General features: G+C 45.4%; 1 long non-coding RNA gene across 2 annotated transcripts in view, besides 1 other annotated feature; it reads right to left on the bottom strand.

The window, feature by feature from the left end:
- LOC101927108 (uncharacterized) overlaps nucleotides 1-18,921 on the bottom strand; it is a 60,297-nt gene that overhangs the window by 39,244 nt on the left and 2,132 nt on the right. For both annotated transcript variants that reach the window (XR_001746719.1, XR_001746720.2), the window contains exon 2: nucleotides 15,590-15,705. This is a non-coding gene — a long non-coding RNA (uncharacterized LOC101927108). The remainder of the gene's footprint in view (nucleotides 1-15,589; nucleotides 15,706-18,921) is intronic.
- Nucleotides 1,687-2,886: an enhancer, noted in NCBI's record as "BRD4-independent group 4 enhancer chr9:74663139-74664338 (GRCh37/hg19 assembly coordinates)". NCBI's record gives its function as "activates an origin of replication core promoter dependent on BRD2, P300/CBP, MED14 and CDK7 cofactors, and independent of BRD4, by STARR-seq in HCT116 cells {active_cell/tissue: HCT116}" and the evidence as "EXISTENCE:reporter gene assay evidence [ECO:0000049][PMID:35650434]".

Raw genomic sequence — 18,921 nt, 5'->3', positions numbered from 1 at the left:
TAGATCAGTGAACTTCATGAAAATCTAACTTTTCTTTCTCTTGGGTTTTTTATTTTATCTTATTTTATTTTTTGAGGTTGGGTCTTGCTCTGTCACCCAAGCTGGAGTATAGTGGTACAATCACAGCTCACTGCCGCCTCAAGCTCTCAAGGCTCAAGTGATCCTCCCACCTCAGCCTCCAGGCTAGCTGGGACTACAGGTGCACACAACCATGCCCCCGCTAATTTTTGTAGAGACAGAGTTTCACCATGTTGTTCAGGCTGGTCTTAAACTCCTGGGCTCAAGCAATCCACCCACCTTGGCCTCCCAAAGTGCTGGGGTTACAGGCATGAGCTACCGTGCTGGGCCTTAGTTTTGTTTTTGTTTTTTTTTTGAGATGGAGTCTCGCTCTTTCATCCAGGCCAGAGTGCAGTGGTGCTATCTCAGCTCACTGCAGGCTCCGCCTCCCGGGTTCACGCCATTCTCCTGCCTCAGCCTCCCAAGTAGCTGAGACTACAGGCGCCCGCCACCACGCCCGGCTTTTTGTATTTTTAGTAGAGACAGGGTTTCACTGTGTTAGCCAGGATGGTCTCGATCTCCTGACCTCATGATCCTCCTGCCTCAGCCTCCCAAAGGGCTGGGATTACAGGCGTCAGCCACCGCGACCAGCTGGCTTTAGTTTTTTTTTAAATGTTACATTATTTACCTGATATCACGGTGCTGGGGAATGACAAAATCACATACACCATCACTAATTCCAGAGTGCTTCCCAAGCCTAATTCACAATCTGGGTGATGTAATGAGAGGAGAACTAGGGAGCAGGTGCTAGTTTTTTGGTTCACTAAGTATTATAGCTGTTGACCTCGGCAAGTCCCGTCAGCCTCTCTGCACCTCATTCTTGGATCACACCATCTCTTACATTTCCTCAAATTCTAGCATTTTATGACTCAACATCGAATAAAACCATTTTCTTGTTTTCTTAGATTAAAAATAAGACCTGGTGCTGAACACAGCCCCTGAGATAGGCCCTGATTAAATGACCATTGTGCACCTGTTACCAAAACACCAGGTTTGGTACAGGTCCTGCTACTGACCGCACAGAAAGCCAATCACTGAGACGAGTATTGCCAAGGAGGAAGGCTTTAGCAGGGTGCTGCAGCTGAGGAGATGGGAGCTCAGTCTCAAACCCTTCTCCCTGACCCACTAAAACGAAAGGTTTACATAGCAGGGAAGAAATGTAACGATATGTAAGAAAACAGGAACTAGGGAGGGGCAAGTAAGCAGTCATGATGAATGAGGGGTCTGGCATCTCATTGTCAGGACCCTGGTGCTCTGGTGAGTTGCAGTTCTTTGACACCCTTTTGCAGAGGTCTGAAGGTCCTTTCCTGAGGAAGGAACTCAGATAAAACAAAAGTTTCAAACTTTAAGACCAGAAAGATCAATTTCTGTGTTTATCAAAAAGAACAGTCCATGGGACTACTGGGTCAGTTTCACACCCAGCTCTGTATAATCTATGAAAAACAGAGGAGAAATGCCAGCCACCAGAGCAGTGACAATCACAGAAGCAGTTTACCTGCATGCCAGTTTGACCCAGCAGTCACCATGGAAACAAAAATAACTTTGACAACTTTGGTGTGTAGACTGAATGATAGTTCCCCAAAGATGTCCACAATCTAATCCCTGGAGCCTGACAAAAGGAAGTTTGTGGATGTACTTAATTTAAGGATTTAAGATTAGGTAATTATCCTGGCTTATTTGGGTAGGCCCAACATAATCACAAGGATGGAGGAGAGCCGAAGAAAGAGGAGATGTGTTTATGGAGGCAGAGGTCACAGATTTGAAGGTACTATGCTGCTGACTTTGAAGAGGGAGGAGGGGGTCACAGCCAAGGAATTTGGGTGGCTTCTAGAAGCTGGAAAAGGCAAGGAAGCGGAGTCTCCCGAGAGTTTCCAGTGGGAATGCAGCCCTGCTGACACATTTCAGACTTCTGACCTCCAGCACCGTAAGATAATGAATTTGCTTTCGTTAGACGTGGTCATTTGTTACCGCAGCTACGGGAAATGGCTTGGTCATGCAGTGGGTGGTGTGGCATTTCTCTTCCCGCAAGGTTAACACAGGCCATACTGGATTTTTGTGGGATCTAATTTCAAGAGAGACACCTCGGTGTCATATGGTCTTCCTTTCATTCTCACAACCTCTCAGTCATAATTTCCCTCGAAACACACAGATGGCCTACAGACATGGGATCACATCTTTTCAGCTGACACCTCCCACTCAAGCCCCTATCCATTCAGGATTTATTTAGCTAACAAGTTTATTTTTTTCAAGTCCTTCACACCCAAAGACAACGTGATATGAGATTAGCCTGAATGTGATCTATTTATGAGACATCAGCCCGAAGGGCCTGTGGATCCAGGAACCTCCCTTGATCCTCTGAATACTAGGTTGGCTTCCTTGTTGATTACATTTTTCCTGCAACTGAAATAGAAATGTCAGTGGTTAATGCCTCCTAATTTATTTAAATGTCTCTGCAGTCAATACATTAGGGGCATCTGGAGGATGTGGCACGGAAGAGACTGAAATGATTCTATTAGCAAAGGAGAGATGTAACATTTGCCTGCGAGCACTCAGTTACGTCTTCTGAAGTTCCAAGAAGCACACTTTTTACAACTGAGATAGCCATTACCGGCTATCCCACTGTACTGATAAGGAATCTGAAGCTTCCAGAGCTGACAGGTGGCTGAGAGGAACTTGCAGTGATCCTCACTCCTCCTCAAATGCCAGCCTTTGAAAGAACCACGTGGGGGGCCAAGAAGCTGAGCATCTGGGATGCTGCTACTCTGACTCTTCAGTGTATGTTTCAGGCCTCTGAGAAATGAGACATAGGGGCTTTTAAAGGAAGCACAGGAGGCCGGGCACAGTGGCTCACACCTGTAATCCCAGTACTTTGGGAGGCCGAGGCGGGTGGATCACCTGAGCTCAGGAGTTCTAGATCAGCCTGACCAACATGGTGAAACCCCGTCTCTATTAAAAATACAAAAATTAGCCAGGTGTAGTGGTGCATGCCTGTGATCTCAGCTACTTGGGAGGCTGAGGCAGGAGAATTGCTCGAATCCAGGAGGTGGAGGTTGCAGTGAGCCGAGATCACGCCACTGCACTCTGGCCTGGGCAACAGTAGTGAAACTCCGTCTCAAAAATAAAAAATAAAGGAAGCACAAGAGCTAAGAAATAGAAGAAAACAGTGTTAGCAGCAGAACGTATCAAGTAACACGGCACCAAAATATGTTACTGGCGGCAAATCTGTACGGGTCTGCAGCAACCTCAGTTCTTGCCTCCTCAGAAGAAAGAATTCGACTGGGGGTCATAAGGCAGAAGGACAGACCGAGGCAAGTTTTAGAGCAGGAGTGAAAGCTCATTAAAAGGTTTTAGGGCAGGCTAGGTGCAGCAGCTCTGACTGTAATCCCAGCACTCTGAGAGGCAGAGGTGGCGGATCACTTGAGGCCAGGAGTTCAAGACCAGCCTGGCCAACATGGCAAAACTGTCTCTATTAAAAATTAAAAAATTAGCCGGGTGCAGTGGCGCACACCTGTAGTCCCAGCTACTTGGGAGGTTGAGGCATGAGAATTGCTTGAGCCTGGGAGGCAGAGGTTGCAATGAGCCCAGATCACACCACTACACTCCAGCCTGGGCAACAGAGTGAGACTCTGTCTCAAAAAAAAGAGAGAAAAAGAAAAAGTTTTAGGGTAGGAATGAAAAGAAGTAAAGTATATTTGGAAGAGGGCCAAGCGAGCAATTTGAGAGATTAAATGCACGGTTTGACCTTTAACTTGGGGTTTTATATGTTGACATACTTCCGGGGTCTTGCATTACTTCTCCCCTTATTCTTCCCTTGCGGTGAGCTGTCTGCATGTGCAGTGGTCAGTGGTCTGCTAGCACTTGCAAGGGGCCACATGCACAGTACTGGAGTTTGCACATGCTCACTTGAGGCCTTCGTCCCTTACCAGTCAAATGCTCCTAGAGGAAGATCATATACCAGTTAAACGTCACCATTTTGCCTCTTAGTGCGCATGCCCAACCCCACTCACCCAACTCCTGAGATCTCATCAGGAAGCTAATCACCAGTTTCAGGTTTTACCAGTTTCAGGTTTTTCTATCTATTGGAAGAATGTCGGTCCCTGGTACCAGCTGCAACCAATTAGTATTTTAGCACAACAGTTAACAACCACCTGACCATCACCTGATGGTCACCTGGCATTCCCAGTAGGGGGTGGGGTGGCCCTCTCCTGCTCTGCTCATGTCTGCCTGACTACCTACTGTAATCATAGGATGGTTGATGATTGACCCCAGAGCTCCACAAACAATTCTGTATCTAACTGAGGACTTTGGACAGAAAGAAATAGTCTGAAGAACTGAAGGTTGCAAGCTAAGTAAATAGGGAGCCATCTTTTAGTTCTTGATTTTCTGCAGTGAAGGATTCATATGCTAATATCTTTATGGCTAAAACTGCTAGCTGATGTATGATGTTGGCAACATAGTAAAACATCCCCATCTTTGAGGAGGTGTGGGGCCATCCCAGTACGGACTGTTTAAAGTCCTTCCCTCTCTCTCTCCCAGTGGCTGCTCCATGGGGGTGCAAATCCTAGAAGTGCAGGCATTGGAGGTGGCTGTACCTCTTGATGGACACATATTATCTTGCACATTTCATTGACCCATGCAGATCAGCACCTGTAAGTCATGCTGTATCTTCCTTTGATTGAACCTCAAATCCTAATTCTCCAATTAGCAGGACAAATACAAAAAGGCAGGTCTAGGCTGGGCGAGGAGGCTCACACCTGTAATCCCAACACTTTGAGAGGTCGAGGCAGGCAGATCACGAGGTCAGGAGTTTGAGATCAGCCTGGCCAATATGGTGAAACCCCATCTCTACTTAAAATACAAAAATTAGTCGGGCGTGGTGGCATACACCTGCAGTCCCAGCTACTCGGGAGGCTGAGGCAGAAGAATCACTTGAACTCGGGAGGCGGAGGTTGCAGTGAGCCGAGATCATGCCACTGCACTCCATCCAGCCTGGGTGACAGAGTGAGACTCCATCTCAAAAAAAAAAAAAAGAAAAGAAAACAAGGCAGGTCTATCTTCTATCCTACACATAACTTCCTGGTGTAAGTATATTTTCCACCTTCCTTCCCCCCACACACTGAATGAAGTTAATAGATCTGCCACCAGAAAGTATTGTGTACAATGGAGTGTCCAGCTGTAACCAGCAATTTTGGTGCCAGGGCAAGCATAAAACACAGCCATCAAATCGACTTTGTGATTCATGTCTCAGCTTGCATATGGGTGCTATTGAAAATCCTTTCCATCTGGTAGCTTCCTATTTTAACTAGTTATTCTCACTTACTAGCTGTTAAATTTAGTGATACTACATGCTTGTGCTATAGAATTAGTTGCACGATCATTTTAAAAACTGGCACACTGTGGCCGGGCGCAGTGGCTCATGCCTGGAATCCCAGCACTTTGGGAGGCTGAGGTGGGTGGATCACCTGAGGTCAGGAGTTCGAGAACAGCCTGGCCAACATGGTGAAAACCCATCTCTACTAAAATACAAAAATTAGCCGGTGTGGTGGCATGCACCTGTAATCCCAGCAACTGGGGAGGCTGAGGCAGGAGAATTGCTTGAGCCTGGGAGGTGGAGGTTGCAGTGAGGCGAGATCGTGCCTCTGCACTCCAGCCCAGGCGACAGAGCTAGACTGTCTCAAAAGAAAAAAAAAAGAAAAAACTGGCACACTGTAAATTTCAGAGCCCTAGTTACAGCTCTGATTATGGAGAGAGAAGAGAGAGAAAGAAGTAGGCAATGATGGGAAAATTTTGAAGAACATGGAAGTCATTCATTCAATTAATATTTATTGAGCAGTTCTTACATGTCAGGTACTATGGAGGTAAGGAGGATACAATAGTGAACAATTTAGATGTTCACGAAGCAAGCTTCTGGTGTGGGGAATAAGAACACAGAAGGTGGTGTTTTGTAATATAGTAAAATAAATCTGTGCGATTTAAGTATGAGGAGTCCATGGGGCTCAAAAGAGAGAACAGGAAGAAAAGACTAAAAGGACTAAGAAGCTGGTAAAACTATTTAAAAGGGGGGTAGCTCACACCTGTAATCCCAACACTTTGGGAGGCCGAGGCAGGTGGATCACTTGAGGTCAGGAGTTCAAGACCAGCCTGACCAAATGGTGAAACCTTGTCTCTACTAAAAATACAAAAATTAGCGAGGCATGGTGGTGCATGCTTGTAATCCCAACTACTCAAGAGGTTGAGGCAGGAGAATCACTTGAACCCGGGAGGTGGAGGTTGCAGTGAGCTGAGCTCACACCACTGCACTCCAGCCTCGGCAACAAGAGTGAAACTCCATCTCAAAAAAAAAAAAAAAAAAAAAGAGACACCTACCCCCATGTTGTCATAAAAGGCTCTCAAAGGAGGTATCTAAGCCAATATCTGAAAGAAATTAACCAGAAGAGTTCGGAGGTTGGAGGGAAAAGGTTTTCTGATGTGTCAACTTGACTAGGCCACAATATCCAGGTCTGGTCAAACATTATTCTAGATGTCTCTGTGAAGATATTTTTTAGATGAGATTAACATTTAAATGAGTAGACTTTGAGTAAAGCCAATTACCCATCATAAGGTGGGAGACCTCATTCAGTTGAAAGCCTTAAGAGAAAAATGACTGCCTCCCTGAGAAAGAAGGAATTCTGCCAGCTGACTGCCTTCAGACTTAAACTGCAGTGCTTCTCTGCGTCTCCAACCTGTCTGCCTACCCTGCAGACTTTGGACTTCCCATCCTCCACAATCATGTGAGCCAAGTCCTTAGAATAAATATCTCTCCCTCTCTCTATATATGCACACACATCTATCAGTCTTATCTCCCTGGAGAACCCTGAATAATACAGCTTCTAAATAGAGAGGTCCACGTACGCCAGGGCCTTTGAGGTACAAGAGAATCGTGGCATGTCTGGTGACCACAGGGAGAGACCAAGACCATGCTGAGCTGAAAAAGAAAATTCATATTGCCTGAGCAAGCTCAGGCATTTCTGTTGCTTGAGACAGAAGGTCCAACCAAACTAAGACAGAACCTCCCTGAAAGGTCTGAAAAGGGCAGCAGACAAACAGTTCTGTGTTTTCAAAAGATCACATGGGCTTCAGCTTGGAAAATAATTGGAACTGGAGCAAAGAAAGCATTTAGACTTTTGCAGCAAGCCAGGTGAGAAATAATGGCCTGTGCTAGAAAAGTGGCAGTGAGCATCAAAAAGTAAGAAATACTGCTTGCGCTTCCTATGTACAAGAACCCTGCTAGGTACCAGGGGGCAGCAGTGAACATGTCCTTGCTCTCAGAGATCTTACAGTGGAAGAATGAGACAAGAAACCATAAATCACCTAATTTCAGAAAGCAAATGTTATGGAAATAAAATTAAGTGGGTTAGGGTGATGGTGGGTGTCTATTTGAGACAGGTGGGCAGAGCAAGGCGTCTATGAGCAGAAACCTGAAAGGGCTGGGAGGGTCAGTCAAGCACCACATGCAAGGTGAGCACAGCAGGCAGCAGGGACCTCAGTATTCTCTTTGGACATATTAAGTGTGCAACACTGATTAGACGCCCCTATGAAGATGGCTAATGTGTGATAGGATATGCAAGTTTGAAGCCCAGGGGAGAGATCTGGCTGGAGAGAGAGATATTTGAGATCCATCAGTAAAATCTACGCTTGAAAACGCCTTTAAACTCAATGAGACCACCTAAGGAATGAGTGAAGGAAAGAGGGATTAGGACTAAGCCCTGGGGCCCTGAGAAATTAAGGGGTAGAATAGAAAAGGATCATGGGAGCCTCTGCACTGGGGAGGTCCACCAAATACAGGCTGGAGAACATGTTGAAAGAGGCTTCCCACAGAATCTGCTACCGCAGCTGAAGTGGTTGGTAAGAAAAGGTGCTTGGAAGTGAGGCCAAGGAACAAAGTCCGGCTAGTTGGATTTTAGTCCCTATGGAACTGACACTAGGCATTGGGGCATATGGGTTTGAAGCTCAACAGGGAAATCCTGGCTTGAGATAGATTCAGGCATCTGGCACATAGGTGCAAAAAATGAGGTTAGAATGAAGAGTGAGAAAAGAGAAGAGACCACGACAGAACTTTTAGCAGGACATACATTAAAGGGAGTGGGTAGAAAATGAGAAAGAAATCTGTGAAGGATCAATTCCAGATGATTGCAAAAAAAGGAACATATTTTGAGATGCAGCAAATGCAAAGATGCTATGCCTCAACCCTGAGGATATGTTGAATAAAGTCTGTGTCATGAGAACAGAGGCACTGGAGCACAAACAAAAAAAAAGACCAAGGCTAGCAGTTTAATTCCACCGTTTATTAACTGTGTGACCCTGAACACATTACCCAACATTTTAAACTTTAATTTTCTTACTTGTGAAACATGGTCAACAGTGCGTCACTGAGCCTTGCAGAATATCCGGTACATGACCAGTATTCATCACCTCATTCTCTTCCTTCTTCCTCTTGGCTTTAACGTTTGAATCATGCTAACAGGATAGGATACAAGAAGCAGCAATACTAAAAGTAGGAGTCTCCAGGGGGAGTGAGGCTCTTGTGGTTAGAAGAGGCTATATCGGCCGGGCGCGGTGGCTCATGTGTGTAATCCCAGCATTTTGGGAGGCCAAGGTGTGCGGATCACAAGGTCAGGAGATCGAGACCATCCTGGCTAACATGGTGAAACCCTGTCTCTACTAAAAATACAAAAAAAGTAGCTGGGTGTGGTGGCAGGTGCCTGTAGTCCCAGCTGCTTGGGAGGCTGAGGCAGGAGAATGGGGTGAACTCGGGAGGCAGAGCTTGCAGTGAGCCAAGATCGCGCTACTGCACTCCAGCCTGGGTGACAGAGCGAGACTCTGTCTCAAAAAAAAAAAAAAAAAGAATAACTAGTGTCGGTGGAACTAGTGTGGCCCTTCAGGAAGGGCAGGACTCAGGTCTGTGTTTCGCAAACATTCAGAGCCATTAGACCAGTCAGTGAAGCTTAATAAAATGCAAGTTTTCAACACCCACCCCCATGTAGTCATGAGGCTGGGCAGAGGGCCAGGTGATTCTGCTAAAAGTAGTTCTCAGACCGCACGTGAAAGAGACGCTAATGTAGACACATGGAAAAAAAAAAAGAGTGCACCACCAAGAGTGCAGCGTGTTCTTGGGGTGAGATATAGGAATGTACACGGATTTATGATCTAAGCAGAGGGCTCATGTGAAAAGTCACAGGATGTAAATGAGAACAATGAGGCCCAATAAAAAAACTCTGGAATTGTGGATAAGAATGAGAAAGCAGTGAGTGTACACATGGCTTTGGTTTTAAAGATCTCCATTTCATTTTATGACTAGGAAGAGTCATAGAAGAAGAAAAAGCCATGGAGAAAGAGAGAAGCAGACAGATGTACTGGAAGGAGAATGAAAAGACAATGGAAAGGAGCAGGGGAACACTTAGGGAAATGCCTTGCCACCAAAGAGCCATGTGACCTTGGGCAAGGACCAAATGTCACTCCCTTCCCTTCCACCGTCTGCAAAGACAGGCTTGGTTAATATTCCCTGAGATCCTTGCAAGCACCCGCTTCCCATGGTTCTCAACAGTGGGAGTTGGGGAATGTAGGGGAAGTTGTCCATGAACTTTGATGGGAAAAAAAAATACTATTCCTTTATTTTCGCCCATTTCTAACTGAAACATAGCTTTTCCTTCCATAATGCATAAAAGCAGCAAGCCATGAAAATATTAGAAGTACCTGTGACTTTGTTACCAAAAAAATAGCAATAAGTTTGTTTTTGGGTTTTTGTTTGTTGTTGAGACAGAGTCTCGCTCTGTAGCCCAGGCTGGAGTGCAGTGGTGCAATCTCGGCTCACTGCAAGCTCCACCTCCCTGGTTCACGCCATTCTCCTGCCTCAGCCTCCCGAGTAGCTGGGACTACAGGCACCCGCCACCATGCCCAGCTAATTTTTTGCATTTTTAGTAGAGACGGGGTTTCACTGTGTTAGCCAGGATGGTCTCGATCTGCTGACCTCGTGGTCTGCCCGCCTCAGCCTCCTAAAGTGCTGGGATTACAGGTGTGAGCCACCACACCCGGCCAATAAGTTTGTTTTATCACAGTTGTGCAGATACCTCCAAATATCATTTATGCTCACCAACACTTGAAAGTTACAGTAGTTATTATAGGCAACACTTTATCTTATTTAATACATTATTAAAGAAGCACATGTATTATATCTTTTAAAAATATTTTTATATTTCTTGGTAATCATATACATACTATTTTATGTATAGGACTATTATTATAGTGGGAGCCTTTAGAATGAAGATTCAAAAATACAGGGGACATTGTCCATTTTATTGCTTAGGTCCAATACAGTATGGACTATGTGGAAATATGATTAGACAAAAATGGAATGATCTAATGCCGATAGACTGAGTAAGGCCTGTCTGTCTAGATTCTTCTTGGCTTCTCTGTGCAGTATTCTTTCCTTCTGTATATGGGGCAGGATCATCTCTGAAATGGGGGTCTTATGACCAAGAGTCAAACAAGATAAGCCAAATAATTTCTTTATGGCCAGTTTTTATACAGAAAGGCAGAGGGGTAGATTAGAGTAATATTTTTAGGTTTTATGACTAGCTTTAGGGAAAAGGAGTTCTGGTTTCACATAACCCAGGGGTCCCCAATGCCAGGGCCACTGACCGATACTGGTCCATGGCCTGTTAGGAACCGGGCCACACAGCAGGAGGTGAGTGTGGGTGATCAGGCATTAGCGCCTGAGCTCTGCCTCTTGTCAGATCAGTGGTGGCATTAGATTGTCGCAGGAGGCCAAACCCTATTGTGAACTGCACATGGGAGGGATCTAGGTCGCGTGCTCCTTATGAGAATCTACATAATGCCTAATAGTCTGAGATGGAACAGTTTCATCCTGAAACCATCCCCACCTCACTCCGTGGGAAAATTGTCTTCCATGAAACTAGTCCCGGTCCCTGGTGCCAAAAAGACTGGGGACCGCTGCTGTAACCCATGTTGGGGAAGAGGGATGTTCGTTTCCTTGGCTGGCCTCAGGGGAGAATGTGACTGAGAGATAGGAGGGCAGGAGAGTGACAGAGAAAAACTTCTGCTTCTGAGGTCTCCATTTTGGGGTATTATTTTCTGAGCCCCAACATATGTGATCCTTCCACATCGTTTCTAACATGGCAGCTTCCAGGTAGCCTGGCTCCTCACATGGTAGCTCGGGGTTTTTAAGTGAGGGTCCTGAGAGAGAGGAAGCCGTACAGAAACTGCACCGTGTTTATGACTGAGTCTTGAAAGTCATATATGTCACTTTCACTGTGCTCTGTTAGTTGAGGCAGTCAGGAAGCCCTGCCCAGGCTCACAGGGAGAGTACCTAGACTCTACCCCTTGTCGGGGAAGTACTAAGCTTCTGGGAAACATATGACCCAAAATGTGTTTAGGGCCATTTCTATGAAATACGGTCCGCTACACGGTCATCTATGGGGCAGATGGTCCCAGGCATAACCAAGGTTCACTCCCTTCTGGATGCTCAGCCTACCCTGAATTTCACTCACAGCTCAACCTTGTCTTCGAATGCCAATCACCCGTTCTCGTTCTCATCCTGCCTGCAGAGCGCATCCAGCCTGTTTCCCAGCTTATTTATGTTGTGTTTTGATCTTGAGCATTTGAAACGTTCTGTTGCAATGATCCCATCTCCAGCTCACTCTCCCTATTTCTCTTTCTGGTAGAACCAAAGTGGGCCTGTTTGAATCTCACCAGCGCATCCCATATTCTAGCTGTCTGAATTATATTTACCTGAACAACTGGCCCTCCCTGCTGAGAACGCGCTAACCTCTGGATCTCGGGCCTGAGGCTTCCCCTAAGCCCTTCAGCACATCCTTTGCCTTCCCGACGCGATTCCCTGAGTGCTTCTGCCATCTGGTGGCCAATTGTGGTAACTGCACTCTACAGTCCAAGCTGATAGTTGCCCTGGCTCTTTTCCTGGACCTATCAGGCCAAGATGTTCTACTTACTGTCTCTTTAAGTCCTGTAATCCCAGCACTTTGGGAGGCTGAGGCGGGAGGATCGCTTGAGCCCAGGAGTTCGAGACCAGCCTGGGCAACATAGCGAGATCCCATCTCTACCAAAAAACAAAATTTAGCTGGGCATGGAGGTGAGCGCTTGTAATCCTAGCTACTCAATAACACGGCCTGTGAAGGAGGTTAGCAGTCTGACTGAGGAGGACAAAGTGTAAAATGTAGGTTAAAAAATAAGGAGTGAAGATGAGGGAAGATGATTCCTGAGTCCTAGTAAATTCACCTGACCCAGTAGGCTACATAGCTCTTAAGTTCAAAAAACAAGTGGGAATTGTGTTTGCACTGTTGAGGACCACAGCTGGATTCTATCCTAGCCACCCAGCTGACTAGCTTGGCAAGTTGCCTAACTTCTCTCATCAACATTGTTGTGATTGTAATATTTACTCATGTAATTGTTCTGATAATTAAATAAAATGCCTTATGAAAGGCCAGACGCGTTGGCTCATGCCTGTAATCCCAGCACTTTGGGAGACCAAAGCCGGCGGATCACTTGAGGTCAGGAGTTGGAGACAAGCCTGGCCAAACTGGTGAAACCCTGTGTCTACTAAAAATGAAAATAAAAATAAATTAGCCAGGTGTGGTGGTGCATGCTTGTAATCCTGGCTACTTGGGAGGTTGAGTTGGGAGGATTGCTTGAACCTGGGAGACGGAGGTTGCAGTGAGCCGAGATTATGCCACTGTACCCCAGCCTGGGCAACAGAGTGAGACTCTATAAAAAAAAAAAAAAAAGTACCTTATGGAAAACACCTAACCCAGGAACTCGTTTCTTGTGAGGACTTGCTGCCTGGTTCACAGATGTTGGCTTCTTACTGTGTCCTCACATGATAGAAAGGGCTAGCCAGTTCTCTGGGGTCTCTTTTATAAAGGCACTAATCCCCTTCATTACCTAATCACTTCCCAAAGGCCCCACCTTCTCATACCATGACCTTGGACGCTGGGTTTTAACATGTGAATTTTCAGGAGACACAAACATCTGTACTATAGCAATCCACATGTCACCAATCTTCTAATATTGCTAGTTTCACACCCTTGGTCAACAAACCATGCCATCCTCCCCTAGCCGGAAGTCTATGCATATCTGAATCTCGGGCCACTTCTTCCATACACAGTGAACAACCAAGTGTGCCGGTTGCAGCTCTGTCCACTGAGAGGATTTCCCCCACACTCTGTCCTTAAGGTCAATACTGAATGAGACTATAATGTGGCAACTGTCCATTTTCTCCTTCCCTTCATATGCTAAGCCAAACCATCTGTGAACCAGATGCAAGAGTTTTCCTCTTCCACCACTGGATCATCCAGAAGCTGTTGTAAGGCCATGTGTGTGAACTGAGGAAGAGGCATTAGTGCCACAAAAGTGACATACCCTCTGGAGCTGCTTGGGCCTGATCCTTATGAACGATTTTTCATCATACAATAAATTACGAAAGTTCCTTATGATTCAGTGGTTATGACGATGCCCCATCCGTGGTGAGCATCTCCATTCTCATCGCCACTTGACAACCTATAGTTAGATACTCAGTCTCTACAATGGCACAATAACCCTCATCGAGCTTCTTTTCCTATAGTGCATGGTTCTCTGCTTCAGAAGGCATGACTGTATCCAGAATACTGTGGGTCTCTGCTGTGCCTCCCCTATTGGAGCTTGCCGGAGACTGAGCAGCATCCTTTCCACCATGGGTACCTCTAGCACCATTAGGCCTGCTGGGTCATTTAGCACAAGACTCAGGGCAGACTGCAGCACGACTCTAACCTGCTATAAAGTCCTTTCTTGCCCTGGTCTCCACTCAAAATTGGCTGCATCTGAAATCCAAAGATGCTGAACAACCACTAATCCTCTTTGTGGTGGAGGGTACACGATGCTATGATTTCTTTCTCTCCTGGAGATATGTGGGTGTCCCAGCATATCTCTAACAACTGGGCCCCTAATAACTTCACCAATACAGCAGCCCCCTGAATCTTTTTCATTTTATCTTGGACCCCATATGTCTAACTAGAACATCCACAGTCTTTGCTACTTTCTGTTCCCCAGATCCAATTAACATAATATCAATGAGGTAACAGACCATCATGATATGCTGCAAAATGTCAAGATGATCAAGGATCATGAAGACTATTTTATTTCAGAAATTAGGATGCTTAATACAACCTTGATCCAATTCAGTGAAGGTACATTACTATACTTCCCACATTAATGTGAACTCTTTTGCTCACCTTTACTGACAGAATGGGGGGAAAAGTATTCTCCAGGTTAATAACCAAATACCAAGTACCAGACCTGTTACAGTAAAGATGCCACATATAGTGGAGCAGCTATAATTGGGGCCATTTGTATAAATCTATGGTAGTCCACCTTTATTGCTACAGCCCATTTGGTTTTTACAGGGGTCGTGCAATTGAATTGAACAGGGATATGATGGCTCTCCTTTAAACTTTGCAGCTGAAATCCTGTATCCAACAGCCCTAGACAGGGTTCACAATAGAAACTTCCCCAGCATGTAGTTCTGTTTGGGGGAGAATTAGAGGACCACGTATTATATATACTTGCTGGAGAGCTGTAGAATCCTCCCTCCAAGGACCCACAGTCCTTTTTTTTTTTTTTTTTTTTTTTTTGAGATGGAGTCTCATGCTGTCGCCCAGGCTGGAGTGCAGTGGCACGATCTCGGCTCACTGCAAACTCTGCCTCCCAGGTTCACGCCATTCTCCTGCCTCAGCCTCCCGAGTAGCTGGGAGTACAGGCGCCCGCCACCATGCCCAGCTAATTTTTTGTATTTTTAGTAGAGACGGGGTTTCACCGTGTTAGCCAGGATGGTCTCAATCTCCTGACCTCGTGATCTGCCCGCCTTGGCCTCCCAAAGTGCTGGGATTACAGGCGTGAGCCACCGCGCCCAGCCCCATAGTCCCTTCTAAGTGGACTTTGGGTCTGAAAATTACTCGAATATGAAAACAAGGATAGAGAGAATTTATAGTGGTAACTAACATCAGTCTTTCTCTCATCATTTCTTTTTTTTTTTTTCTGGCTATAACTCAAGCATCACCCTAGTTGGCTACCCATCTGCCTCACCTCTAAGAACACCAAACTCTGTGAACCATCATTATAGACTCTTGCAGGTCAAGGTGCTCTACTTGACACTCCACGCTTACTGTTAATTATGATAATTTTGTCTCCATGCATCTGATGCAGATGCTTAAGCACTGCCACTGGTCTCTGTCATTCTGAAATCTTACTGTTCCCATTGACACCAGAAAAGAGATCAGTTTTGCAATACCACCTAAGATTATCAGCCCTAACCTACAGAGGACAGACACCCCTGAGCTGTCAGTGATTCTGGCGCCCCTCACCAGCACATTCCTTATCTCTTTGATAAAAAGAGTACCCCTGGGCCCTCTTTGAAAACCTAGTCGGCAATAAGTAGTCTTATGCAATAAATCCATTCTATCACGCCGTCTTCTCTGAGCCTACTAACCTCCTCCTCTGTACATCTCCACCTCCTTTGCTGAAGGTCATCATGTTCAAGCTTCAAGGAGCCATCCCAGCAGCACGTTGGACCAGCTTCATGTTTCCTTGCTAGAACATTTAATCCTGAATCATGAAAGAGCATTCCAGTGTTATTTCACTCTCCCCTAATCAGCTTTATATTTTGCTCTTCCACCCTCCCCTAACCCAGTACTCTCAAAACCATTCCTGCACATGCTCCGCTGGTTCCAGACAGTACATATTTTGCATGCCAAGTTCTGTAGTTATTTTGGTGAATACCTATTTCTACTATAGCAGATATTAAACCTTCCTTTTTGGGTTATGCTGAGACCTGACCATAGTTATTGGTCTGGAGGCAATGAGCTGGAGGGTGGGGTTGAGAGTGTCAGATCACGAGAACAACCATTATCTTTCATTTTATTTATTTATTTACTATTATTATTATTATTATTTTTTTTTTGAGACAGGGTCTCCCTCTGTTGCCCAGGCTGGAGCACAGTGGTACAATCATGGCTTACTTCAGTCTCAACCTCCTGGCAAGTGATCCTCCCACCTCAGCCCCCCAAGTAGCTGGGACTAGAAGCATGCACCAGCATGCCCAGCGATTTTTTTTTTTTTTTTTTTTTTTTTTAGTACAGATGAGGACTTGCTATGGCACCCAGGCTGGTCTCAAACTCCTGAGCTCAAGCAATCCTCCTGCCTCAGCCTCCCAAAGTGCTGCGATTACAAGCTTGAGCCACCACACCAGCCTTTGACCACCATCTTTTGACACAACCGCTTCAGGTGAGGTCTTTCTTGGTCTTCAGGCAAACGGAGGCTCTTCCCTTTTAGTAAGAACTGTTATTTCTGCCAGCCAAGAGGGGTCAAAGGAATACAGCAAAAAGTTCAAGGTTCTCAGACACATCCATGCAAACTTTTTCAAGCTGGCAGCCTAACACAGAAGAGAAGTGGAGGCTACACATTCACTTGTTCTTGCAGCTTGGTCACCTTATTATTAATTCCTAGGCCTGATCTATAGCCCAGGCTGTCCCACAGCTGCAAGAGACAAGATTCTCTTTATATGCTTCCAGGGAAGCTGTCTGGCTCTTATAGATTCCCTTAAGTTAATAGTTGGCTGACCTGGCCAGGCATAATGACTCATGCCTGTAATGTCAGCACTTTGGGAGGCCGAGATGGACAGATCACTCGAGGTCAGGAGTTGGAGACCAGCCTGTCCAACATGGTGAAACCATGTCTCTACTAAAAATGCAAAAATTAGCTGGGTTGTACTCCCAGCTACTCGAGAGGCTGAGGCAGGAGAATCGCTTGAACCTGGGAGGCTGAGGTTGCAGCGAGCTGAGGTTGCAGCGAGCCGAGATTGCACCACTGCACTCCAGCCTGGGCGACACAGCAAGAGTCCATCTCAAAAAAAAAAAAAAAAAAAGGAGTGAGTCAGACCAGGCACGGTGGCTCACACCTGTAATCTGAGCACCTTGGGAGGCTGAGGCAGGCAGATTACTTGAGGTCAGGAGTTTGAGACCAGCCTGACCAATATGGTGAAACCTCATCTCTACTAAAAATACAAAAATTAACTGGGCTTGGTGGAACGCACTTGTAATCCCAGCTACTGGGGAGGCTGAGGCATGAGAATTGCTTGAACCTGGGAGGCAGAAGTTGCAGTGAGCTGAGATTGCACCACTGCACTCCAGCCTGGGTGACAGCGGGAGACTATCTGTCAAAAAAAAAAAAAAGTGCATCAGCAAGATTGCTCCTACCTCCTATCTCGATTCCTCTGGCACCTCTTGAAAAGTGTACAAAATGCCTCCTAGAATTGTCCGTCTAGGAGGTGGACAGCCAGAGCATTTGGTTGAGGACATCCCTTAGGGCCATTAACTCCCCTCACTTGCAGGCTACATTTGGCAAAGTCGCCTTTCAATATTAATTAATAATCTACAGAAATAGTAAAAACTCATGAGTCTTCAGCCCCTTGGACACAAGTCCTTTCTTTAACCCAAAAGACCTACATAATCATATGCTTATAGATAATATTCATGAAGGTTTTTTCTTTGTTTTTTTTTTTTTGAGACAGAGTCTCACTCTGTCACCCAGGCTGGAGTGCAGTGGCGCGATCTTGGCTCACTGCAAACTCCACCTCCCTGCCTCAGCCTCCCGATTAGCTGGGACTACAGGCACCCACCACCACACCCAGCTAATTTTTTGTATTTTTAGTAGAGACATTCATGAAGGTTTTAAGTTTTGTTGTCTAAGATTTACTCACGGCCACATGACCTGTTGACTACATGGATTCAATAAAATGGACCTTTTTAAAGTTTCTTTTCAGTTCTTTTCATAAGACTGAAAAGCCCCAGAAAAACAGCAGTAGAAACTTTCAGTGAATGTTTCACAAGATTAAAGATAGATAACAATTTAACTAAGATTTCAATAGGTCTTTTATTCTTTAACCTTATTGTCTAAAATGTCAATTATCTTGGCACTGAACTCAAGATTTCAGTGTTTCTATATTTCAGCTGTTTCTATATTAATTTCATGGTTATTAAATGCTACAGTAAAAATCCAACATGAGCAGGCAGTAGTCACTATAAACACTCTCTTCAACACACAATTACAACTAATAATATATTTGGAAGGATTTGACTGTTAGAAAACAGTCATAAGGGCCAGGTGTGGTGGCTCACACCTGTAATCCCAGAACTTTGGGAGGCAGAGGTGAGTGGAGCAGTTGAGGTCAGGAGTTTGAGACCAGCCTGGCCAACATGGTGAAACCCCATCTCTCCTAAAAGTGCAAAAATTGGCCAGGCATGGTGGTGGGTGCCTGTAATCCCAGCTATTCGGGAGGCTGAGGCAGGGAGGCGGAGGTTGTAGTGAGCCAAGATTACGCCACTGCACTCCAGCCTGGGCAACAAGAACGAGACTCTGTCTCAAATTTAAAAAAATAAAAGAAAAGGATAAAAGGAAAACAACCATAAGAACTATTTAAGACTAATGAGAAATGTGATAGTATTCATAGAAGAAAGAGATGAAGCATTTGTATACATACATGATCATGAAATTCTCTTGGTTAGAAACCAAAGTCACTATATGCCTGCCTTGAGGTCGTTATGAAAGGCAAGAAGTATTAAGTGCATCAAATCATTGGGAAAATATGAAAAACACAAGACTAGCTGGCTAACAGGTTTGACGCTATGGGTACAGGGATAGGTTCCCCCTGAGGTAAATTCATATCCCTTCCCAGTTCTCTAGTGGTTGCCACTATACCCATCTCTTCCTTGTGGAGAAAATTGTAGCTTTAGGCTTTTGAAACCACATCTTTGGCCATGGTCC

Source organism: Homo sapiens, chromosome 9 (genome assembly GCF_000001405.40).
Source record: "Homo sapiens chromosome 9, GRCh38.p14 Primary Assembly".
Lineage (NCBI taxonomy): Eukaryota > Metazoa > Chordata > Mammalia > Primates > Hominidae > Homo > Homo sapiens.
Note: the sequence above shows the minus strand (reverse complement) of the source record. Positions and strands in the feature narration are given on the sequence as shown.